The 22,920-nt window shown below is 40.9% G+C and overlaps 1 long non-coding RNA gene and 1 pseudogene across 1 annotated transcript in view; one reads left to right on the forward strand and one right to left on the reverse strand.

Moving 5' to 3' along the window:
* LOC105379380 (uncharacterized) overlaps nucleotides 1-8,838 on the reverse strand; it is a 55,679-nt gene extending 46,841 nt beyond the window's left edge. Inside the window, exon 1 of the long non-coding RNA XR_949685.3 lies at nucleotides 8,568-8,838. This is a non-coding gene — a long non-coding RNA (uncharacterized LOC105379380). The remainder of the gene's footprint in view (nucleotides 1-8,567) is intronic.
* On the forward strand, nucleotides 19,151-19,258 carry RNU6-607P (RNA, U6 small nuclear 607, pseudogene; annotated as a pseudogene).

A 22,920-nucleotide genomic window follows, 5' to 3' on the forward strand; every position in this document is an offset into this window, starting at 1 on the left:
AGAATTAAAACCAACTTCTGCCCCCAGGTACGGGGACAAATCCTCCCTCCTTAGCCACACTAACCTCCTGGAGAAGGTAAAACCCTGAACTCTGAGAAGAGGTCAGATGACTTGGACACAAAGATGGGCTTTTCAAAAAAGGCACGGGGATGGGAGTGGCTGGAAGAGAAAGCAGGAGTCCAGTGCATAATGTTATGTTTTAAACCACATGCCTTTTTCCAGACTGGGTTATTAAATTAATTCAGAACTTATGCTCACACTTAAAAGATTTCTGTCATATTTTATGAACACGATGATCTCAGAGTAATTTGCACTGGAAATGTGTCATATTAAATCAGGGGCACTAATAAACTTTATTACTTAAACTCCACATGGATCAGACATGGCAGATAAACCATCTTACTTTTGCACTCATCTTTATACCATAGAAATATGGCCCCTCCTATGGGAAAACATAAACAAACTTGATAGCCTTTCCTGTGCCCCACCATAAATGTATCCATCTGGGCTGGAGGCATCACCTGCCTGTCCTACTACCCCACACAGAAGCTTAGCATGGAAGTGGGAAGGTCTGATCCAGGCAGAGAGATTTCATCAGGGTTTTAAAATGCTTTCATTTCTGTGGCTTTATCACCTTTTGTTCACACTGGCCTGGCCTTTATACTGGGCTGTGTGTAATAGCTAAGAATGGGTTTACAGGTACAAGTATGGTATAAAAAGTACTGACTGGTGAGTTACGAGGCCTGAGTTCTTCTGGTTCTGCTACCAGCTGGCTCTGTGATCTGAGCACAAATCAGACAGGACCATGTAATAGAAAAAGCATAGGCGTTGGGATCAGAGGTTTATTTCCATTTAACAGATGTTTTTTGAAAGCGTAACATGATCCAGGCCCTTGGCAGGGCACTAGAGATGCAAGAATGAATAAGAATTCAATTAGAATCCCAACAGAGTTATTTGGGACATGAAGTTAAATTGTTACAAAATATGTGTAGATCCGAACCATTCTACAGATTTAAAGTATTTGTGATTGTTTTAAAAACTCATATCAAAACATCTAACAATAGCCAAGAAAATTAAGAGTAGCATGGAGGGACTTGCCTCATGAGATATTAAATACAAAGCCAATGTATTCAAAATGGTGTGGTGTTAGCAAGCTCGTAAGCTCATCTACCAACTTTCAGCCAACAACCCTGCGGTCATGGGAGTTGAGGTGAAAAGAAGGGAAATGATCGGAAGCCGATATTTGGAGCATGTGGACTTCCCAGGAGTCTTCACCAATGCAGGCAGCCAGGCATCCACCTTTCCCTAGGAAACTGTAAGGTTTTTTCTGGAAAAAAAAAATGTAAACCGAAGAGGTTCTGAATTCAGAGAAATGGGATCACCAAAGGACAGGCGCAAGGCAAAGACAGTACAACAGTAACAATAGGGAAATTTGGTGAAAGTTCATTCTTTACATGGAGAAACATGAAATTGCCAGCCCTTTCCTGCTCTGTTTCTGGGCTGCAAGCAGCTGAGAACGCCCTCACACACATCACCGGAATTCTGGAGCAGGAGATTGTATGACACTTCCAGGGTAGAAAGAAAAAGACCCTCACATATTAACACTAGTGGGATGCAGTGGTAACCTCATCTCCCCCAGGAAGGCCCTCCCCTACACACAAACAGCCTCCACTTAAGCATGGACACAGGGCCAAGGACCATCAGACCCTTGAGGAAATATTCTCCTAGAAGATACGATCAAAAACAAACAGGAAAAAAAGGAATTTGGAAGGAAAATAGACAAGGCAATAATATCCTCAGAGAGATAAGATGATTTCTCATCCATAAACAAAAGTAAATGCTATTAAAAAGCCCAACTTGAAAACAAGAAAGAGCTCTTGCAAATTTAAACCAATAACCAAAATAACATTATTCGGAAGGATTAAAATTAAAAGTTAAGGAAATCTCCCACACATTATGACCAAATGGCAACAAAATAGAAAATAAAAGTGAAAGAGATATAAAAATCTGGTGTAAGCACAAAGGGCTAAAATCCAAATAACAAAGAGCTAAAATCCAAATAACAAGAATTTTATAAAGGTAGAAGAGAAAAATTGTGCAAAGGAAGTTATTGATGGAAAAAATTAAATATAATTTCCCAGAATTAAAGGACATGGAGGGTACTCCAAGTGACTGTTCTAGTGAATGGAAAAAGACCAACATCAGGGAATATAACTGTGACATTTCAGAACATCAAAGATAAAGAGATGATCCCTACAACTTCCATGGGTCAAGATGGGGGTGGAGGGAGCACGTACATTAAAAGTAATAGGAATCAAAATGGGTCAAACTTCTCAAAAGAAAACCTAGATGTCAGATGATGGTGGATCAATGTCTTAAAAGTTATTGGCCAGGCATGGTGGGTCACACCTGTAATCCCAGCACTTTGGGAGGCCAAGGTGGGCAGATCACTTTAGGCCAGGAGTTCGAGACCAGCCTGGCCAACATGGTAAAACCCCATCTCCACTAAAAAAACAAAAATTAGCTGGGTGTGGTGGTGCACACCTGTAATCCCAGCTACTTGGGAGGCTGAGGCACAAGAATCACTTGAACCCAGGAGGTGGAGGTTGCAGTGAGCCAAGATCACACCACTGCACTCCAGCCTGACAGCAGAGTGAGACTCTGTCTCAAAAAAAAGTTATGAACAGCCAGGTGTGGTGGCTCATACCTATAATCCCAGCCACTCTGGAGGCTGGGGCAGGAGGATCACTTGAGTCCAGGATTTCGAGGGTGCACTCCTTGAGGTATAATTGTACCTCTACACTCCAGCCTGGGTGACAAAATGAGACCCTATCTCTTTTAAAAAAAAAGTTATGAACGCAAAAATCAATTTCACTTCTATACAATAACCATGAACAATCTGAAACAGAAATTAAGAAAACAATTCCACTTCCCATAACCTCAAAAAGAATAGAATGCTTAGGAATAAATTTAAAGGGCTGAAAGACTAGTACACTGAAAGCTACAAAATGTTGTTAAAAAAAATTAAAGAAGGCACAAATAATTGGAAAGATAGTCTGTGTTTACGGACTGGAAGATTTAATATTGTTGAGATCTCAACACTACTCAAAGCAACCTACAGATTCAATGCAATTGTTGAGATCTCAATACTACTCAAAGCAATCTACAGATTCAATGCAATCTCTATCAAAATCTCAACAATATTTTTTGCAAAACTAGGAAAATCTACCATAAAACTCATATGGAATATCTGACTAGTCAAAACAATCTTGAAAAAGAACCAAGTTGGAGGTCTCCTACTTCCTCCTTTGAACATGTACTACAAAGCCAAAGTAATCAAAATTGTATGGTACTGACATAAAGGCAGACACCCAGTGGAATATAATAGAGAGCACAAAAATAAATCCCCACATATGTGGTCAAACGATGTTTTTTAATTTTTGAGTCAGGGTCTCACTCGGCTGCAGGGGTGGAGCGCAGTGGCACCATTATAGCTCACTACAGTCTTGACTTTCCAGGCTCAACTGATCCTCCTGCCTCAGCATCCCCCATAGCTGGGACTACAGACACACACCACTACACTGGGCTAATTTTTTTTTTTTTTTAGAAACAGTGTCTCACCATGTTGTCCAGGTTTGTGGTCAAATGGTTTTTGACAAGGCTACCAAAGCCATTCAATGACAAGACCATTCAACAGTCTTTTCAACCAACAGTGTTGGGAAAACTGGATATCCACATGCAAAAGAATAAAGTTGAACTTTTACCTTATACTGTATACAAAAATTAACTCAAAATAGATCAAAGACTTAAACATAAGCGATAAAACTATAAAACTCTTAGGAGAAAAGTTTCATGACGTTGGATTTGGCAATGATTTCTTGGATATGATGCCAAAGGCACAGGCAATAAAAGAAAAAATAGATCAGTTAAACTTCATCAAAATTAAAAACTTCTGTGCATCAAAGGACACTATCAACAGAGTGAAAAGGCAACCCACAGAATGGGAGAAAATATTTGCAAGTCATATATCTGATAAGGGCCAGAATATGCAAAGAATTCCTACAATTCAACAACAAAAAAACAAACAACCCAGTTGAAAAATGGGCAAAGGACTTGAATAAACATTTCTCCAAAAAAGATAACAAGTGATCAATAAGCATATGAAAAGATTCTCCACATCACTAATTATTAGGGGAATGCAAATCAAAACCACAATGAAATACCACTTTATACCCATTAAGATGGCTACTAACAAAAAGACAGAAAATAAGAAATTTTAATGAGAATATGGAGAAATGGGAACTCTAGTGTGTTGCTGGTGGGTATGTAAAATGGCTCAGTAGCTGTGGAAAATGACGTGATGTATGAACATAGAATTACAGTAGGATTCGTTAATTCCACTTCTAGGTATATACCCCCAAAAAAGTGAAAACAGAGACTCAAACAAATATTTTTACATCCATGTTCATAGCAGCATTATTCACTATAGCTGAAAGGTGGAAGTAACCCAAATGTTCATCGGCAGATGAATGGATAAACAAAATGTGGTATATCCATATAATGAAATAGTATTTAGTAATAAAAAGGAGCCAACTACTGTTACCTGCAACAATATGAATGAAGCTCAAAAAAATATGCTAAGTGCAAGAAGCCAGGCATAAAAGGAAATATTGGCCAAGTGAGATGGCTCATGCCTGTAATCCCAGCACTTTGGGAGGGCAAGGCAGGTGGATCACCTGAGGCCAGGAGTTCAAGACCAGCCTGGCCAACATGGCAAAACCCTATCTCTGCTAAAAATACAAAAATTAGCCAGGCATGGTGGCACACACCTGTAATCCCAGCTACTTTGGAGGCTGAGGCAGGAGAATCACTTGAACCCGGGAGGCAGAGGTTGCAGTAACCGAGATGGCACCACTGCACTCCAGCCTGGGTGACAGAGTGAGAATCTGACTCAAAAAAAAAAAAGTAAATATTATATGATTCCATTTATCTGATATTTCTAAAGATGGAAAATCAGTAGAGACAGAAAGCAGATCAGTGGTTCCCTGGGACTGGGGGGTGGGAGTGGAGACTCACTGCGAATGGGTCCCTGGGAACTTTTTGAGGAGACAGAAAAAGTTCTAAAACAATTTTAGTGATGGTTGCACAACTGTATAAATTTACTAAACTCATCCAACTATACACTTAAAATAGATGAATCTTATGATAAACAAATTATACCTCAATAAAATTTGGGGGTTTGTTTGTTTTTGAGACAGAGTTTCTCTCTTGTTGCCCAGGCTGGAGTGTAATGGCGCAATCTCGGCTCACCACAACCTCTGCCTTCCGGGTTCAAGCGCTTCTCCTGCCTCAGCCTCCTGAGTAGCTGGGATTACAGGCATGTGCCACCACGCCCATCTAATTTTGTATTTTTAGTAGAGACAGGGTTTATCCATGTTGATCAAGCTGGTCTCGAACTCCTGATAGGTGATACACCCACCTCGGCCTCCCAAAGTGCTGGGATTAGAGGCGTGAGCCACTGAGCCCAGCCAATGAAGTTGTTTTTTTAAGTCACTCGAATTGGTTATTCTTTCCAACACTTAACTGTGTGACCCAAGAGCTTTGTTCTGAAATTCTGAAAGTGAGCAGAGAGGGGTTGCATGGGTGAGGCAGGCAAAATGAAAAAGATCAAATTGTCCACTGAAATGCTTTATGACACCCAGAGGAAAGAACTGTAGGCTTTGGGGGCTGCTCTGTCACAATCCAAGAACAGATAGAGCCAGGGTGGAGCCAGGGTCCCTCCTGCAATGGAGAAGTTATGAGTTATGGGCAGCAACGTCCTGCCCTCTGCAACTCACGGGTGCTATTTCTCAACCTTCCCCTGGGACATCAGAACACCAGTGCAAGGTGAAGATGGCCCTGAGGAGAATGTTTTTCCTCACTGTCCCCCTGCCAATTTGCAATGCACAAAAGACAGGAGAAAGAAGTAGTTTATGGTTAGAGGACAGTGTGTGTGTGTGTGCGCGCGTGTGCGTGTGTGTGTGCGCATGTGCGTGTGTGTGTGTGTGCAGTTAAACCCATACACGGACCCATTTGTATGTGTGAGGGGTGGGAAGTGGGAAGATAAAAAATGTAGAGTTTCATCACAATTATATTGCACATTTTTAATTATAGGGAAAAGATAAGAAGGCAATGCACTCGAATGCTATTCTTGGTTGGTTGTTAATTTTTAAACTAGGAAATGAATGTTACTTAAAAGAAAAAAAAAACTTTCCTTTTTACATGGGTTGGCCCACATGCAAATTGGCAGACAGAATCTACAAGTAAAGAGAAATGCTTAATTCAAGCTTTTGTGTAATGAAATTAATTTTAATATAAATAAGATTTTAAAAGGATAAAGACAATTTAGAATGTTAATTTCAAATTTTGCTTTGCTATTGAAAGAACTATTAGGAAACAGGGAAACAAAAACACTTTCACTGGGTTAAAACAAAAACTTTCGCTAACTTCGTTGGCTTGGAGATCAATGTTCTTTAACACAACAAGAGCAATATGATGGTTGTTGTCATCTTTGTTTATGATACCAGAAGATGAGGAAGGCTGAGAGGGCAGAGGTAGACTTCTCTGTGCAGATGAGACACCTAAACAATGCAAGTCGTTGAAGAGAATTCTTTTGCTCATATTTCCTGAATGGCCAGTTCCATATCACATAAGCCAAATATTTATAGAATTTCTACTTTTCCATTATGCTTTACAGACAAAACAAAGGGTATAATTTATTTGTATGGAAAAAATTCATTGAAATCAAATATGGTTTGAAGTCAAATGCCATTTACAGGCTATCAACCTATGTGTGTCCCAGTTTATGCATGTTTAAGATCAACAAATGTGGGTACCAGTTCTCGCATGTTTAAGACATGGAGTATAATTTCTACCTCTCATGATTGTCTGGGGAATGTTTTCTTTTTTCAGATGGAGTTTTGCTCTTGTCACCCAGTGCAATGGTGCGATCTCAGCCCACTGCAACCTCCGCCTCTCAGGTTCAAGCAATTCTCCTGCCTCAGCCTCTCAAGTAGCTGGGATTACAGGTGCACACCACCACATCCAGCAAATTTTTGTAATTTTAGTAGAGACGGGGTTTCACCATGTTGGCCAGGCTGGTCTCAACTCCTGACCTCAGGTGATCTGCCCACCTCAGCCTCCCAAAGTGCTGGGAATACAGGCGTGAGCCACCGCGCCTGGCCTGTCTGGAGAATTTAAAGGTGTAATGTCTGGTAAGGCACTTGCCAAAAATAGGATGACATTCAGTAAATTGTAGATCTTTTCCATCCCATTCCACATCTCTGCCCATTGTCCACCACCCCACCCAAATACACACACACACACACACACACACACACACACACACACACACACTTTACAAGTCTTACTCTGCAAAGCTTCACTGATACATCCCATGGAAAAATTAAATAAACCATTTTCAAGAAGAAATGCCCCACTGCACACAAGAAGACTGTAAAGGGCATTCCTGCTCCCAGGGAAGAAGAGCTGGTGACTGGAAACAGCAAAAGGACACCTTATTCCCCTGCCTTCCCCCTGTGCTGGCAGGATTAGAATTAGAAGAACCCAAATCTGGCTAGGAATCTGCTGGGTGAAAGGCAGAGCCTGGTGAACTTGGCTGATTCTGAGGTCAAGGTTGCATATTCAAGCCCCATAAGAAAGATTTATCCTGGCAACAACCTCCCCCTGGCCCTGGCCCATTCGTGGATGTTTCCCATTGCATGGAAGAGCTTTGTCAGGGGGTGGGGTAGAAAAGGCTAAACACAATCTGTTCCCATCTTCATAAAACTAATACTTTTTAAAAACACAAAACATTGTTCCTCCTGACAGTGGGGCCAGATGTCCTTTTCAAATATCAATACCTGTGAGAAGCCGCAAAGAAGCAGAGCTCTGGCGTATACAGGAGAATCACATGACACAGGGAAAACATTCAGTTGCTATAACAAGTGTCAAAATAATAGTGGTTTAACATGGTAGTTTATTTCTCTCTCACACAAGAATTCAAGCATAAAAAATCCAAGGCAATAGGGCAGCTCTGCAAGATGAGGAACCCAGGTTCCTCCTAACACACAACCCTGACTGCCTGGCATGAGGTTTCCATTTTGCAATCTAATATGGCTGCTGTAGCTCCACCATTACACACACGTCCCAGCCAGAAAGATTGGAAAGAGCAAGGAAGGAGCAAAGGCAAGGCACCACCCTTCCCTTCTGTTTAAAGGCACAATTAGAAAGTTGCACACATGACTTGGGCTCACATCCCAGTAATTAGAACCTAGTAACAGAACACAGCTACCTAGCTGCAAGGGAAGCTGGGAAATGTAGTCTTTCTGTTGGGTGGCTGGTTGCCGAGCACAATTTAGGTGGTAGATTGGTTTCCTGGGGCTGCCATAACAAAGTTCCACAAACTGGATGGCTTAAAACAACAGAGATTTGTGCTCTCATGGTTCAAGAAGCCAGAAGTCTGAAATCAAGGTGTCAGCAGGGCTGGTTCCTTCAGGAGTCTCTGAAAGAGAAACTGTCCCACATACCTCTTTTCTTAGCTTCTGCTGGTGTCTGGCAATCCTTGGCACTCCTCGACTTGTAGCTGCATCATTACAGTCTCTGCCTCCGTTGTCATATGGCCTTTGTGTCTCTGTATCTAAATCTTTTCTTTTATCAAGGCAACAGCCATTGGATTTAGGGCCCCACCCCCAACATAGTATGATCTCATCTTAAATTTGATGACATCTACAAAGTTCCTATTTCCAAATAAGGCCATATTTACAGGTACCAGGAGTTAAAACTTCAGCCTATCTTTGGAGAAGACACAATTCAACCCAACAGAGGGGCTTCATGCCAAAGGAAGAAGAGGAGAGTGGATACTGAAGAACAACCCCCTTGCCGCGGGACCCCAGGGAATCGTGCTGGAAGACAGCCACTGTGATGTCAGAATACACACTCTGTTCCAGTTTCTTGCAAGTGAACCTGACCAACATCTTCCTCTGCAGACACTTCATCTTCCAGGCACGTCACATGGCCTGTGTCTCCCAGGCTCATCTGTTCTGCTCACAGGTCCACGTCTCAAAATGCCCTCCCATGCTCTTCCCCTCAGCCAACCCCTAAGGAAGAAGCTGCTCCCATAGGCTTTTCTCCTTGCCCCAGCCCACAGTGGCTGACAGCTGTCACCCTGGGCTTCCATTATGACTTTTATGAAACCTAGGCACTTGCCCTCATGGGCCCTTCTCCCTATGAACAAAAACTAATCCTTATTAAAATTTTTGTTTAAGTGTTTATATCATGCCGGGCCGGGTGTGGTGGTACGCATCTGTAGTCCCAGCTACTCAGGAGGTTCAGCCCAGAAGTTCAAGTCCAGCCTGGGTAACATGACAAGACCTCCATCTCAAAACAATTAAATAAATAAATGTTGTATTAAAAAGCATTTTATGATTGCACTTGGTATAAAGATGAATGTATTAATGCTATGCACAAAAACATTCCCTTCAACCTAAAAGATTTTTTCGTCATCATTTTAAGGAAACTAAAGCATTTCCCCGGATCCTTAAAAGTATTATGGGCACTAGGCACTGCCCTGCCTGCTGAGCAGATAAGTCAACTGTGCTGGAAAAGATGCTGAAAGGGACAACAGAAAAAACCCCAGCCACCAAATCTTACCACAGAGTGCTGAGTAGAGAGTGTGAGTGCCATCCACCACCTCTTCCTCCCCCAACAGGGAGGATACTTTATGTGCTCTCAATACAACCTGGGAATATGCAACAAGATCTCAACCCACTGATAGGTCAGAAAAGACAGCCTCGGCCAGGTGTGGTGGCTCATGCCTGTAATCCCAACACTTTGGGAGGCCGAAGCGGGTGAATTGCCTGAGCTCAGGAGTCTGAGACCTCCCTGGGCAACATGGTGGAAACCCGTATCTACTAAAATAAAAATTTTTTTAAAAATTAGCCAGGAGTGGTGGCGTGTGCCTGTCGTCCCAACTACTATGAAGGCTGAGGCAAGAGAATCGCTTGAGCCTGGAAGGTGGAGGCTGCAGTGAGCCAAGACCATGCCACTGCACTCCAGCCTGGGCTACAGAGTGAGACTCCACCTCAAAAAAAAAAGGAAAGAAAAGAAAAGAGAAGAGAAGAGAAAAACGAAAAGGCAGCCTCCTCTCAGAGCTGTGAAATAAGCATCCTTCACCTTCCATCATTGTTGTCAAACACAACACAACTTAAAGAGTGGCCACCCATGCAACACAGTGGATACAAAGCCTTTATTAAAGGATGCGAGAAACCTCCCATCCTTCAGCATCATGAACTGTTCGATCCTTTGCCACAAATCTGAACTATCCCAAAATATACTTAATCCCAAACTAGTCTTCCTTCTTATTTTATAACCCATGTAGATTTCAAAACTATTATTTTCTAATGTATTTAGTTTCAATTCATAAACTGGTTTGCAAGACATGTTTGCTAGGGTGATCAACTCATCTTGGTTGGCTCAGAACTTTCCTGGTCTTGGCCCTGTTGCATCCCAGAAAACCTCTCTGTCCCAAGCAAACCAGGACAGTTGGCCAACCTATAAAGATATCTAAGCTTCATCATCCTCTTCTGAATTGTATGTGTTTAGACCAACAAGACAAAAATCACCGAGAAATGTTTTAAAGTAGCAATTGTTGTTCTGGAAAGTTCAAGTATGGCCCAATGCAACAGCTCAGCAAGATGTAAACAGGCACTCAATGTGGCCCAACCAGGTCCCCCTGGCTCTCCAGGCAATGTTGGCATGGGAAGGGGTGGCTATGAGTCATCTCCCTCTTTCCTGGGCTTCTCAGAATGGTCTCTTCCATAAATATTTTAGATGAAGGAGGAGGATTTGGATTTCTGCCAAAGGAGAAAAAGGATTCCAACAGTGATTCCCAAACCACAGTGCACTTAGGAATAGCCTGAAGAACTTGTTAAAAATAGACAGGTCTGGGCTCTATCCCCAGAAAGTTTAGCTTTGGAGAGTCTGAGAAACACTCTTGTTAACAAGTACCCTGGCTGATCTTGATGCATGTTATTGGTGGATGACACTTTTCAAAACTCTGGATTTGGGGCAAAGCTGTGAAAGTTGCTTCCTCTTCTGTCTGAAGTGAAGCAGGACCAGAGCTTACAAGAAAGGAAGGGATAACTGAATGCAGTAATAAAGAGGGAGGCACTTAGTGTCAGGGCTACTGTTATCTAAAAAGCACTTTCTTGTAAATCTTGAGATTGTTGGAATATCTTAGGCAAAGCATATCTGGGTTAATCAGGGTAGCTATGCTTTACATACACATACACGCTGTGTGGTACATAGATCCATACAGCTGTAATGTAGACACAGATAAAGCATACACGAGATAGCAGCCATGAGGCTGATTTGTATATAACAGGCACTTATAGGTGTTTATACATATATATATGTCATGGAGGTGTGTTTAACATATATAGTAACAAATCAGTAGTCCTGTTTTGACCGTGTTAAATCTGAGATGGCCATAAGATAGCTAAATGCAGGTGACAAACAGGCAGTTGGATCTAGGCACCTACAGCTCTGGGATTTGACCAGGGGTCAGTTAGGACTAGAAATGCAGATTTAAGGAGTTATCGGCATATAACCCCCAGGACATCAATAAAACAGAAGCCACAAGGCCTGAGGTTTTCATGCCAAGTCAAGGTCACAGGCCCTATGGCTTTACAACATAAGCTAGGTTCACTAAATGAAACCAGAAACTAGTAGAGCTTAGGCTATCCATAAACAGGAACTAGAATGTCCTTGTTCATCAGCTCAGGGTACAGCTCAAAGGCCATGTGTAGGAGTCCTTTGCCTCTCAAGGTGAAAACCCTAATTCAAGTTAACCCTCAGTGCAGAAACCCATAGGCCCTAGGCTGAGGCAAGCACGGTTGCCCCATAGGCAGGCCTCCACAACACAAGACATGAACAGGAAAACAATTTCCACAAACAACATTCCCAGGGGAGATGCACTCATGCCAAAATCACAAAATACATGAGGAAGTCCAAAACCAGGGCAAGCAACTTATAAACCCCACATCACCCTCATCCCTATCTCCAAAAAAGGAAGAAATCATATCTAAAGAGGTAGAGATAATAGAACAATCTGAAAGGGACTTTGAAATCAGCACAGTTGGAAACAGAAAATTCGGAGTCTTGAAAAAAAGCAGGATATGCTGAAATTAGTGTTTTGAAGTGATTAGAGCAGCAATGACATGCAGAATTAAATGGAGAAGAGTGGGATTAGAAGCAGCAAGACCAGCCAGGAGGCTTCATGCAATCCACCTACAGGTAATACTTTCTCTATCTCCTGAAGTCCTGTAAAATTTAACTGGCATATCTCTGATGGCCTTATGACCTCATCAACTTTATTTATTGTTTTATAGCTGCTTTCACATATATAAACCATATAAAGGAACTCATTGAACTCAATGCTCCTTGGAGTGGTGTGTTTGTGTAAATAGCAAGATAGTGCATGGATAGATAGTTGATGGGTGGATGGATGTATGGATGGATAGATAGATAGTAAGTAGAGTATGGATAGATAGATATATGGATGGACGGATGGATAGATAGATAGATAGATAGATAGATAGATAGATAGATAGATAGATCTTCCTGTATCCCCCACAGCACTTAACACAGTGTACTAGGCACATGGAGATGTTTCATAAATGTTAAATAAATAACCAACAAATGAACAAGAGTCACATAAGAAACTGATTGATCAGAACCTCTAGCTTGAACTAAAGCACAAAACGAAACTGATGGCCCACCATTAACTGATCTCCCTATGACCTAATAGGCTCCCTAAGCTGGCTGTCTTCTTCTTATCCCATGGGTACATCATCTATTAATGCATTTAAAAGTCAGCTAAATTCAATGACAGCTTTAAGCCCTGTAGCACTGATGAGAATCTTTTGCTATGTATGGGTCTCCCTGGTGCAGATTGCTATATAACCTGTCTTCCTTTTCAAATTGATTGTCAGTCCATAACCATTTGCCTATAGGTTACAGCAGGCCTTGACCTAAATCTGACTGCTGTATTCCTAATTAGATAGAACCCTTCCCCTTCCCTCTTTAAGAAAAAAATCCCTAACTCAATGGCCAAGCCTTGGGAAACAGCAATAACTTAGTGATTTGCACAAGGACACAAACCTGCCACGCTGAATAGCAGAATAGCAAAGATTTCAGGACCCCCTGAGAGGCCTAGAGTCATACTTATCTCCAAAGCAGGGTGACACTCATGATGATGACAATGACACAAAGCTGTCTTTTATTGAGTATCTAATACTGCCAGGCATCATCCTAGGCATCTTCAATACAATCTGGCATATAATCCTCACAAGAAACCAGTAAGGAAGGTACCAGCATGATGACTTAGTCCGTTTTATATTGTTTATAACAGAACACCAAAAACTGAATAATTTATAAAGAAAGGGAATTTATTTCTTAAAGTCGTGGAGGATGAGAAGTATAAGGTAAAGGGGGGTACATCTGGTGAGGGCCTTCTTGCTGGCGGGAATTCTCTGCAGGGTCCTGAGGAGGCTGAGCATGTTCGCTCAGGTCTCTCTTCCTCTTCTTATAAAGCCACCAGCCTCACTTTCATGGTAACCCATTAAATCATTAATCCATGAATGGACTCCTCCACTCATGAAGGTAGAGCCTTCATGACTCAATCACCACTTCTTAATAGTCCCTCATTGGGGATTAAATTTCAACGTGAGTTTTGGAGGTAACAAAATTCAAACCATAGCACATGCCCATTTGGCAGATGAGAAAACTGGAGATGAAAGAAGTTAAGTAAATTGTGCATTGTAAAAATCTAGTAAGTGTCAAAGCCAGGATTCAAACCCAGGTCAGTCTGAATGCAGTTTGTGTTCTTTCCACTTCCCCACACTGCTTCCTCTGCCGATGCTCATGCGCCAGCAAAACAGCGAGTGGCACTCAGCCACTTTGAGTGATTGTCTCAAGGACTTCAGATGATAGACATGGGCTGTAGAGCTGGAATTGTTTCCCAGGAAACTATAAACACACACAAGCACCAGCTTGCTCTGTTTTGAGTCCAATCTTATCCATGGCTTGCAAGGGAAAGACTAACTCAACCTGGTCTTATCATGCTGCCTCCATTTCACTCTATGGAGAATGAACTGGTCCAGCCCAGTTCCTGATTTTTGTGTCCCCATTGCGAGACCAGCTACTTACCTCCATGGCCGAAACAACTGCAAACAAATAGCTCTGAAATGTTAATGGTCTTCTTGGGGGATACAGAATAAGGCATAATAGGGAAAGACTATTCATAGCACGTTCTAGTACCTACACCATTGAAATGTCCATTACCAGTGTAGTCCGAACTCATTGTACTGGCTTGATTTTTAGGCTCAAATTAACCACAGAATTAATTATTTGAAATGATTTCAAGAAGCTTAAGATGAATTATTTCCTTTAAAATGATTCTACAAACCATATGACCATCAACAAGACAATGGGAGAAGTTGTGATCCATTCATACTGTGGAATATTATACAGTCATAAAAATAGATGAATTATAACTGCTTGCAACAACATGGAGGAAGCTTAGAAACATAATGTTGGTTGAAAAACCAAATCCCAGAAATCTACATACAATATGTGGTAATTTTTAGAGGTGTTTGTAAATTTTTTGACACCCTACCATTCCAAAGATGGAGACTAATTTCCCTTTTCTTAAATGTGGGCCAGATTTAGTGACTCATTTCTTTTCTTTCTTTCTTTTTAATTTTTTGTAGAGACAAACTCTCACTATGTTGGTCAGTCTGGTCTCAAACTATTGGACTCACACAATCCTCCCACCTCAGCCTCCCAAAGCATCAGAATTACAGGTGTGAGCCACCATACCTCGTGTAGTGACATTTTTTTTCCCCCCAGACAGGGTTTCACTCTGCTGCCCAGGCTGGAGGTGCCGTGACACAATCTCCTCTCGCTACAACTTCCACTTCCCAGGTTCAAGCGATTCTCCTGCCTCAGCCTACCAAGTAGCTGGAACTACAGACACATGCCACCACGCCTGGCTAATTTTTGTATTTTTAGTAGAGACAGGGTTTCACCATGTTGGCCAGGCTGGTCTTGAACTCCTGGCCTCAAATGAACCACCAGTCTTGGCCTCCCAAACTGCTCTTTAGCATGAACCACCGCGCCGCCCTATTGAACATGGAAAAAGTGATGGTATGTTACTTCCATAACTAAATCAAAAAAAGATATTGCCACTTCTGCCTTACTGTCTTGTATCATTTGTTCTAGAAAAGCCAATCACGACCAGATGCAGTAGCTCATGCACGCCTGTAATCCAGCACTTTGGGAGGCTGAGGCAGGCAGATCACTTGAACTCAGGAGTTTGAGACCAGCCTGGCCAACATGGTGAAACCCCGTCTCTACTAAAATACAAAAATTAGCCAGGTGTGATGGCAGGTGCCTGTAATCCCAGCTACTTAGGAGGCTGAGGCAGGAGAATTGCTTGAACCCAAGAGGCAGAGGTTGCAGTGAGCTGAGATGCTACCACTGCACTCCAGCCTGGGTGACAGAGTGAGACACCCTCGAAGAAAGAAAGAAACAGAGAGAGAGAGAGAGAGAAGGAGAGAAGGAAAGAATGAGAGAAAGAGAGAGAGAGAGAGAAGAGAAGCCAATCACTAGTCCTCAAGACCTTTAAGCAGCCTGCAGAGAGGCCCACATGGAGAAGAACTTGGTCTTCCTGCCAATATCTAAAAACAACTTGCCAGCCACATGAGTGTGCCACCTTAGAAGAAGATCCCCCATCCCTAGTCAAGCCTTCAGATGACTGTAGCCCCTACCAACATCTTGACCTCAACCCCATGAAAAATCCCAAGCCAGAACCACTTCCAAGTTCATGATCCACAGCTAAGCCACTGCCAAGTTCATGATCCATGAAAAGTTGTAAAATCAATATTTATTGTCTGAGGCCACCAGATTTGGTGACAATTTGTGATACAGCAGTACAAAACTAATAAACAATATGATACCATTTCTTTTATTTTTAAATATTTTTTCTGCAGTTTGTAGCAATCATTTTTTATAAATATCAAGAGCAAGAAATTGCTTATACAAACATGTACATGTGATAAACTATTTTTTAAGTGTGGGAATATTAAACAACCATTCCACTGATAACAACTGTAATGTTTAGATTAAATACATAAAACAATTGTGCAAAAGCATCAGAGAGCAAGAGAGTTTGGCAGGACTGGTGGGGCCAAGAGTACACAGATAAAGGAAGTGAGGTAAGCCATACATTTGGCTCTGATTTTTCCTTTATGTTACTTGCCATTTTATGATGTGGAGCAATAAAGGCTGAAGGCAGAGTAACAGAGAGGCTTGCAGAAATCTCATTAGGCTAGGGAGTCAGAGGTTGGAGTTCAATGCCCATCAATGGGGAAGGAACTTGGAAAATACTTGAGGATTTTAGTTGAGATCGCTAAAGAACTGTGCCCCTAGAAGAGAGTTAAGCTCCAGAAGTAAGGAAGATTATCCTTAGGAATCTTGGAATATCCCCTAGGCACAGTTAGAGGTAGAAGAACCCTAACAAAGCCCCTAGACCTATCCTCAATTGCATCAGCATGAAATTGAGAATACCCTATTTCCCTGCCATAAGAAAATGTAATAACCTTTGAAGGAAGATAGCTAGAGAATAAAATTTTTCACACGTGATGTCTAGATCTCAATTGAAAATTACTAGGCATGCCAAGAAATAGGATCAAATAACTAAAAACCAAGAGGGGAAAAACAATAGAAAAAAAAGTGATGCAGATATTGGAGTTATTAAACAGAGACTTTTAAATAACTATTATTAATATGTTCAAGGAAATAAAAGAAAGGACAGAGAATTTTACCAAAGAACTGGAGTCTGCTTAAAGAAAAAAAAAAAGTCAGGCGAAGGCGGGTGGATCATGAGGTCAGGAGTTCGAGACCAGCCTGGCCAACATGGTGAAACCTCGTCTCTACTAAAGATACAAAAAATTAGCCAGGCGTGGTGGCTTGTGCCTGTAATCCCAGGTACTTGGGAAGCTGAGGCAAGAGAATCGCTTAAACCTGGGAGGCGGAGGTTGCAGTGAGCCGAGATCGTGCCATTGAAATCCAGCTTGGGTGACAAGGTGAGACTCTGTCTCAAAAAAAAAAAAAAAAAAAAAGTCAAATGAAAATCTTAGAATTAATAAAATAAAACTACTGAAATTAAAAATTGAATAGATGGGTTCCATAGCAAATTAGACATAGCCAAGACAAGATAGTAAAGAACAGAGACAAAAGAATGAAAAATGGGGGAAAAAACGTAATTGGCCAGTCACGGTGGCTCACACCTGTAATCCCAGCACTTTGGGAGGCCAAGGTGGGCAAATCCATTGAAGTCAAGAGTTTGAGACCACCCTGGCTAACATGGCAAAACCCTGTCTCTACTAAAAATATAAAAATTAGCTGGGCATGGTGGTGAGTACCTATAATCCCAGCTACTCGGGAGGCTAAGGCAGGAGAATCACTTGAACCGGGTAGCAAAGGTTGCAGTGAGCCGAGATTGTGCAACTGCATTCTAGCCTAGGCAACAGAGTGAGACTCAATCTCAAAAAAAAAAAAAAAAGTAATTGATATAGGGGCATGGTTAAAAACATCTAACATATTTGTAATTGGGACCCAGATGGAGAGAAGAATGGGATAGAACCAATTTTTAAACAAATACTGGCTGAGAGTTTTCCAAAAATGATGAAAAACATCAAGCTACAGTGTAAAGAATTTCTCCTCATGCAAGCAGACACAAACACACACACACACACATACACACACACATACACACACACATAGCTATATCACAGATAAACTGCTGAAAACAAAAAACGGAAAAATCTTAAAAGCAACCAGAGGGAAAAACCCACATTGTTTTCAAAAGAGCGACAATAAAACTGACAGCTAAGCAAGAGAAAAAATGGATTAAAAAAATTGTTAAAGTGCTGAAAGAAAATAATTACCAACTTAAAATGCTATACTCAGTGAAAATATCCTTCAAAAGTGAAGGCATAGTAAAGACATTTTAGGGCAAACAAAAACTGAGAGAACTTATTGTTGGCATAGCTACATTCAAAGAAATACTGGAAGAATTTTTTCAGGCAGAAGATAATCCCAGATGAAAGCAGTAATGCAAGATGGAATAAACAGGCTAGGCGCGGTGGCTCACACCTGTAATCTCAGCACCTTGGGAGGCCAAGGCGGGCAGATCACCTGAGGTCAGAAGCTCTAGACCAGCCTGGCCAACATAGTGAGACCCCGTCTCTACCAAAAATACAAAAATTAGCAGGACGTGGCAACGCATGCCTATAGTCCCAGCTACTGGGGAGGCTGAGGCACAAGAATCACTTGAATCTAGGAAGTGGAAGTTGCAGTGAGCCGAGATCATGTGACTGCACTCCAGCCCGGGTGACAGAGCGAGACTGTATTAAAAAAATAAAAATAAAAATAAATTTAAAAAAAGAAGAAATAAACAGCACCAAAAAAGTAAAATTTCTAAATTAATATTTACTACATAAAACAATAACACTGATGTCTTACAGAGTTCAAAATATAGAGAGACTTAAATATATGTTAACAATAGCACAAAATGTATGAGAAGGGTAAATGGAGTTAAAGTGTTGTGAGTTTCTTGCATTGTCCAGGATATGACATGTACAGTTGTTCCTCTGTATCTATTAGGGATTTGATCCAGGACTTCCCACAGACACCAAAATCCACAGATGTTCAAGTCCCTTACATAAAATGGCATAGTATTTGCCTATAACCTACACACATCCTTCCATATAATTTAAATCATCTCTAGATTACTTATAATACCTAATACACTGTAAATGCTATGTAAATAGTTGTTTTACTGAATTGCTTAGGGAATAATAACAAGAGAAAAGTCTGTACATGTTCAGTACAGATGTAATCATCCATTATTTTCCCCAAATATTTTTGATCAAAGCTTGGTTGAATCCACAGATATGGAACCAATGGACATGGATGCCAATTCTAGTAATTTAAGATAGGTTATAATAAAATAATGATACATGTTGCAATCTCTAGGCTAATCATCGTGTTCACTTTGGCAACATATACACTAAAATGGGAAGAATACAGAGAAGATTAGCATGGCCCCTTGAGCAAAGATGGCAGGCAAATTCTAGGGTAATCACCAAAGAACAATAAAAGAATGTACAGTTAACAAGCTTTAGAGTAGGGAAGTGGAATCATTTTTTAAATGCATGAATAATCCAAAGAAGGAGAGAAAGGGGAAAAATTAACAAAAAAAAACCACATAGAACAAATAGAAAGTAAATTGTAAGATGATGGGTTTAAATCATAGTGTCAGTAATTAAATATAAGTGGTCCAAAGATGCCAATTAAAAGACAAAGATTGTGAGACTGGATAAAAATAAACCTCAAATATAAGGATATGAAAAGAAAAGTTGTGTGGCAGTTTTAAAACATAGCCACAAATCCTTTGGCACCCCTCTCATTAAGAGATGGGGTCTGTCTCCCTTCCCCAATCTGTGTGGGCATGTGGTTCCTTCAACCAATAGAGTACAGAAGAAGTAACACTGCGGGACTTTTGAGGCAAGAGCGTAAAAGTCTATGCAATTTATGCCTTGTTTGGTGAAAGTCACTTTTGGAGCTCTGAGCCACTGTGTGAGAAATCTGACTACTCAAGTCTGCCATTTTATAAGGAAGTCCAAGTAGGCACTACAATCAACAGTCCTAGCTGAGTCCAGTCTCAAGTTAGCCCAGTACAGGTAACAGACATGTGATTGAAGAAGTCTCCAGATTCTAGCCCCCAATCATTCACATCTTTCCAGCTAAGACTCCAGACAATGTAGAACAGATATAAAGTGTCCCTGCTAAGCTCTGTCCAAATTCCTCACCCACAATACCTATGAGCATAACAAATTGTTTGTTGGTTTATGCCACTAAGTTTTGGGGTGGTTGGTTATGCAGCAGCACAAAAATGGAAAAAGTTGAAGCTAAAAGGATGAAAAAGATACATCAAGCAAACAATCAAAAGAAAGCTTGTGTAGCTAGACAAATATCAGACAAAGTAAACTTTAAGGCAAGCAGTTTTACTGAATGATATTTCCTAACAATAAAGGGATCAATTCAATTAAAAAAAAAATTGCAAGTCTAACTTTGTATACACATAATAACGTAGCCTCAAAATAAATAAAGCAAAAACTGACAGAACTAAGGGAGAAAAATTCAGATCCACAAGTACTGTTGGAAATGTTAACATACCTAAGTAAATTTTAAAGTACTGAAGTAATTCTAAGGATATTCTCTGATGACAATGAAATTGAGCAAGAAGTGCAAAACAGAAAGATAACTAGGAAATCCCCAGATATTCAGAAATTAAGGAATATACTTTTCTAAATATGCATGAGTAAAAGTGAAAAAAACTCATTAAAATATCAAGCTTCTAGTTAACAAAAAAAATACCACTAATAACAAGAAAAGGCAAGTCACAGAATGGGAGAAAATATTTGCAATATATGTATATGGAAATCAGAAAATATTTTGAACTGAATGGCAATGAAAATAACATATCACGAGTTATTGGATGCAACTACAGCCAGGAATGGTGGCTCACTTCTGTAATCCCAGCACTTTGGGAGGCCAAGGTGAGAAGATCACTTGAGCCCAGGAGTTCAAGACCAGCCCAGCCAACAGCAAAAAGCAAAACCCCATCTCTACAAAAAATACAAAAATTAGCTAGGTTATAGTGGTGCACGCCTGTAGTCCCAGCTACTCAGGAGGCTGAGGTGGGAGAATCACTTAGACCCGGGAGATCAAGGCTGCAGTGAGCAGTGTTCATGCCACTGGACTCCAGCCTGGGCTACAGCAAGAAACCTTGTCTCAAAAAAAAAAAAAAAAAAGAAGTATTGAATCCAACTAAAATAGAGACAAAGGGAAATGTATAGCCCACTATAGCCCATGACAACTACCAATATGGCTGAAGGTGTTTTTCAACTAACAATACCAAATATTGGAAAACTGTTTGAAGTATCTATTATAACATGTACCTAAGTGGTGACATAGCAATTACACTCCTGTTATATCCAACATTAATGAGTAAATATGTGCCCCAAAAGATGTGGACAGGAGAGTTCATGGCAGGTTTCTTAATAATAGCCAGAAAATAGACACAGCACAAATGCCCATGAATAATAACATGAGTGAACAAATTGCATGGTTTATTCTACAGTGGAATACTCCTCAACCACAAAAAAGAATGAGCTACTGATGCATACAACAACACGGAGGAATCTTGCAAATAGAATGCTGCCCAAAAGACAAGAGTACATACCTAAGAATTCCAAAACTAATCTACACTGACATGTATCAGAACAGTGGTTACCTTGGGATGGGGGTGGAGGGAGGATTGACTGGGAAGGGACATTTCTAGAGTACAAATAATATTCCATGACTTAATCCAGATGTGGTTACATAAGTGTATAGAGTGTAAAAATTAGTTGAGCTGTACACTTAAAATCTGTGCAGTTTATTATTATGTATGTTGTACTTTAATTTTTTAAATGAAGCTTTTTTAAAAAAGCAAAAGGAAAATAAACATAAAATTCCAGAAAGTAGCTGGGCGCAGTGGCTCACGGCTATAATCCCAGTATTTCAGGAGGCTGAGGCAGGTGGATCACCTGAAGTCAGGAGCTCGAGACCAGCCTGGCCAACATGGTGAAACTTCATCTCTACTAAAAATACAAAAATTAGGGCAGACATCGTGGCTTATGCGTGTAATCCCAACACTTTGGGAGGCTGAGGCGGGTGGATCACGAGGTCAGGAGTTCGAGACCATCCTGGCCAACATGGTGAAACCCCGTCTCTACTAAAAATACAAAAATTAGCCGGGAGTGGTGGCAGGCGCCTGTAATCCCAGCTACTCGGGAGGCTGAGGCAGGAGAATCGCTTGAACCCGAGAGGCAGAGGTTGCAGTGAGCCGAGATTACACCACTGCACTCCAGTTTGGTCAACAAGAGTGAAACTCCTTCTCAAAAAAAATAAAATAAAATAAAATTCCAGAAAGTGGCCATTTCTGGAGCAGAGACCAGAAGACAGAAGAGGAGAGGCTAACATTTATATATACAATGCATACACCCTTTTGTATGCATCAAATATTAAGTGCTAACAAACACATTATATTAGTAAAAAACAAATTCTTCAAATATTTACCACGCATGTACTGAACTCCAGAAGAATTTTAAAAGTAAAATGAATATAAATGACTCTCACTGATGTTTAAATACATGAAGACAATTGCATTAATTTAATAAGTGCCCTCCTAACATCATGCTGATTGTACCTTCAAGAGACCACTTTGTATGACGTAGGGCCATAAGCATGACAGGCATTATTGAATGCATACTGTCTGTTGGGCACAGTTGTGAATGCTTTACATGCATTTAATTGTCATATAACCCTATGAGGCCGGTACTGTTATCACCCCAATTTAACAGATGGGGAAACACACACAGGGAGTTCAAGTGATTTGCTGGTGGCCTCACAGCAGGCAAGCAGTCGAGCCAGCATTTGAAGCCTGCTTTTGAATGGCTGTTTGGTTTCAGAGCCTACTCGCTCTACCTCTGCACCACTCTGCCTCTTTTAAGGAGCACAGCTCCCATTTCTGGGAATTTTCCACCATGCCCCTGACTTCCAAAGAGGACTGAAATGGAGTTGCAGGGTGTCCATAGAGAGAGGGGCTTGTGACATGTCTGTAATTACAATGACAATGAATTACGTTGTCATCACTGACAATAACTATCATAATAAACATTGAGCCCTCATTGTTCTATATCACAGAGT

Source organism: Homo sapiens, chromosome 8 (genome assembly GCF_000001405.40).
Source record: "Homo sapiens chromosome 8, GRCh38.p14 Primary Assembly".
Taxonomy (NCBI): Eukaryota; Metazoa; Chordata; class Mammalia; order Primates; family Hominidae; genus Homo; species Homo sapiens.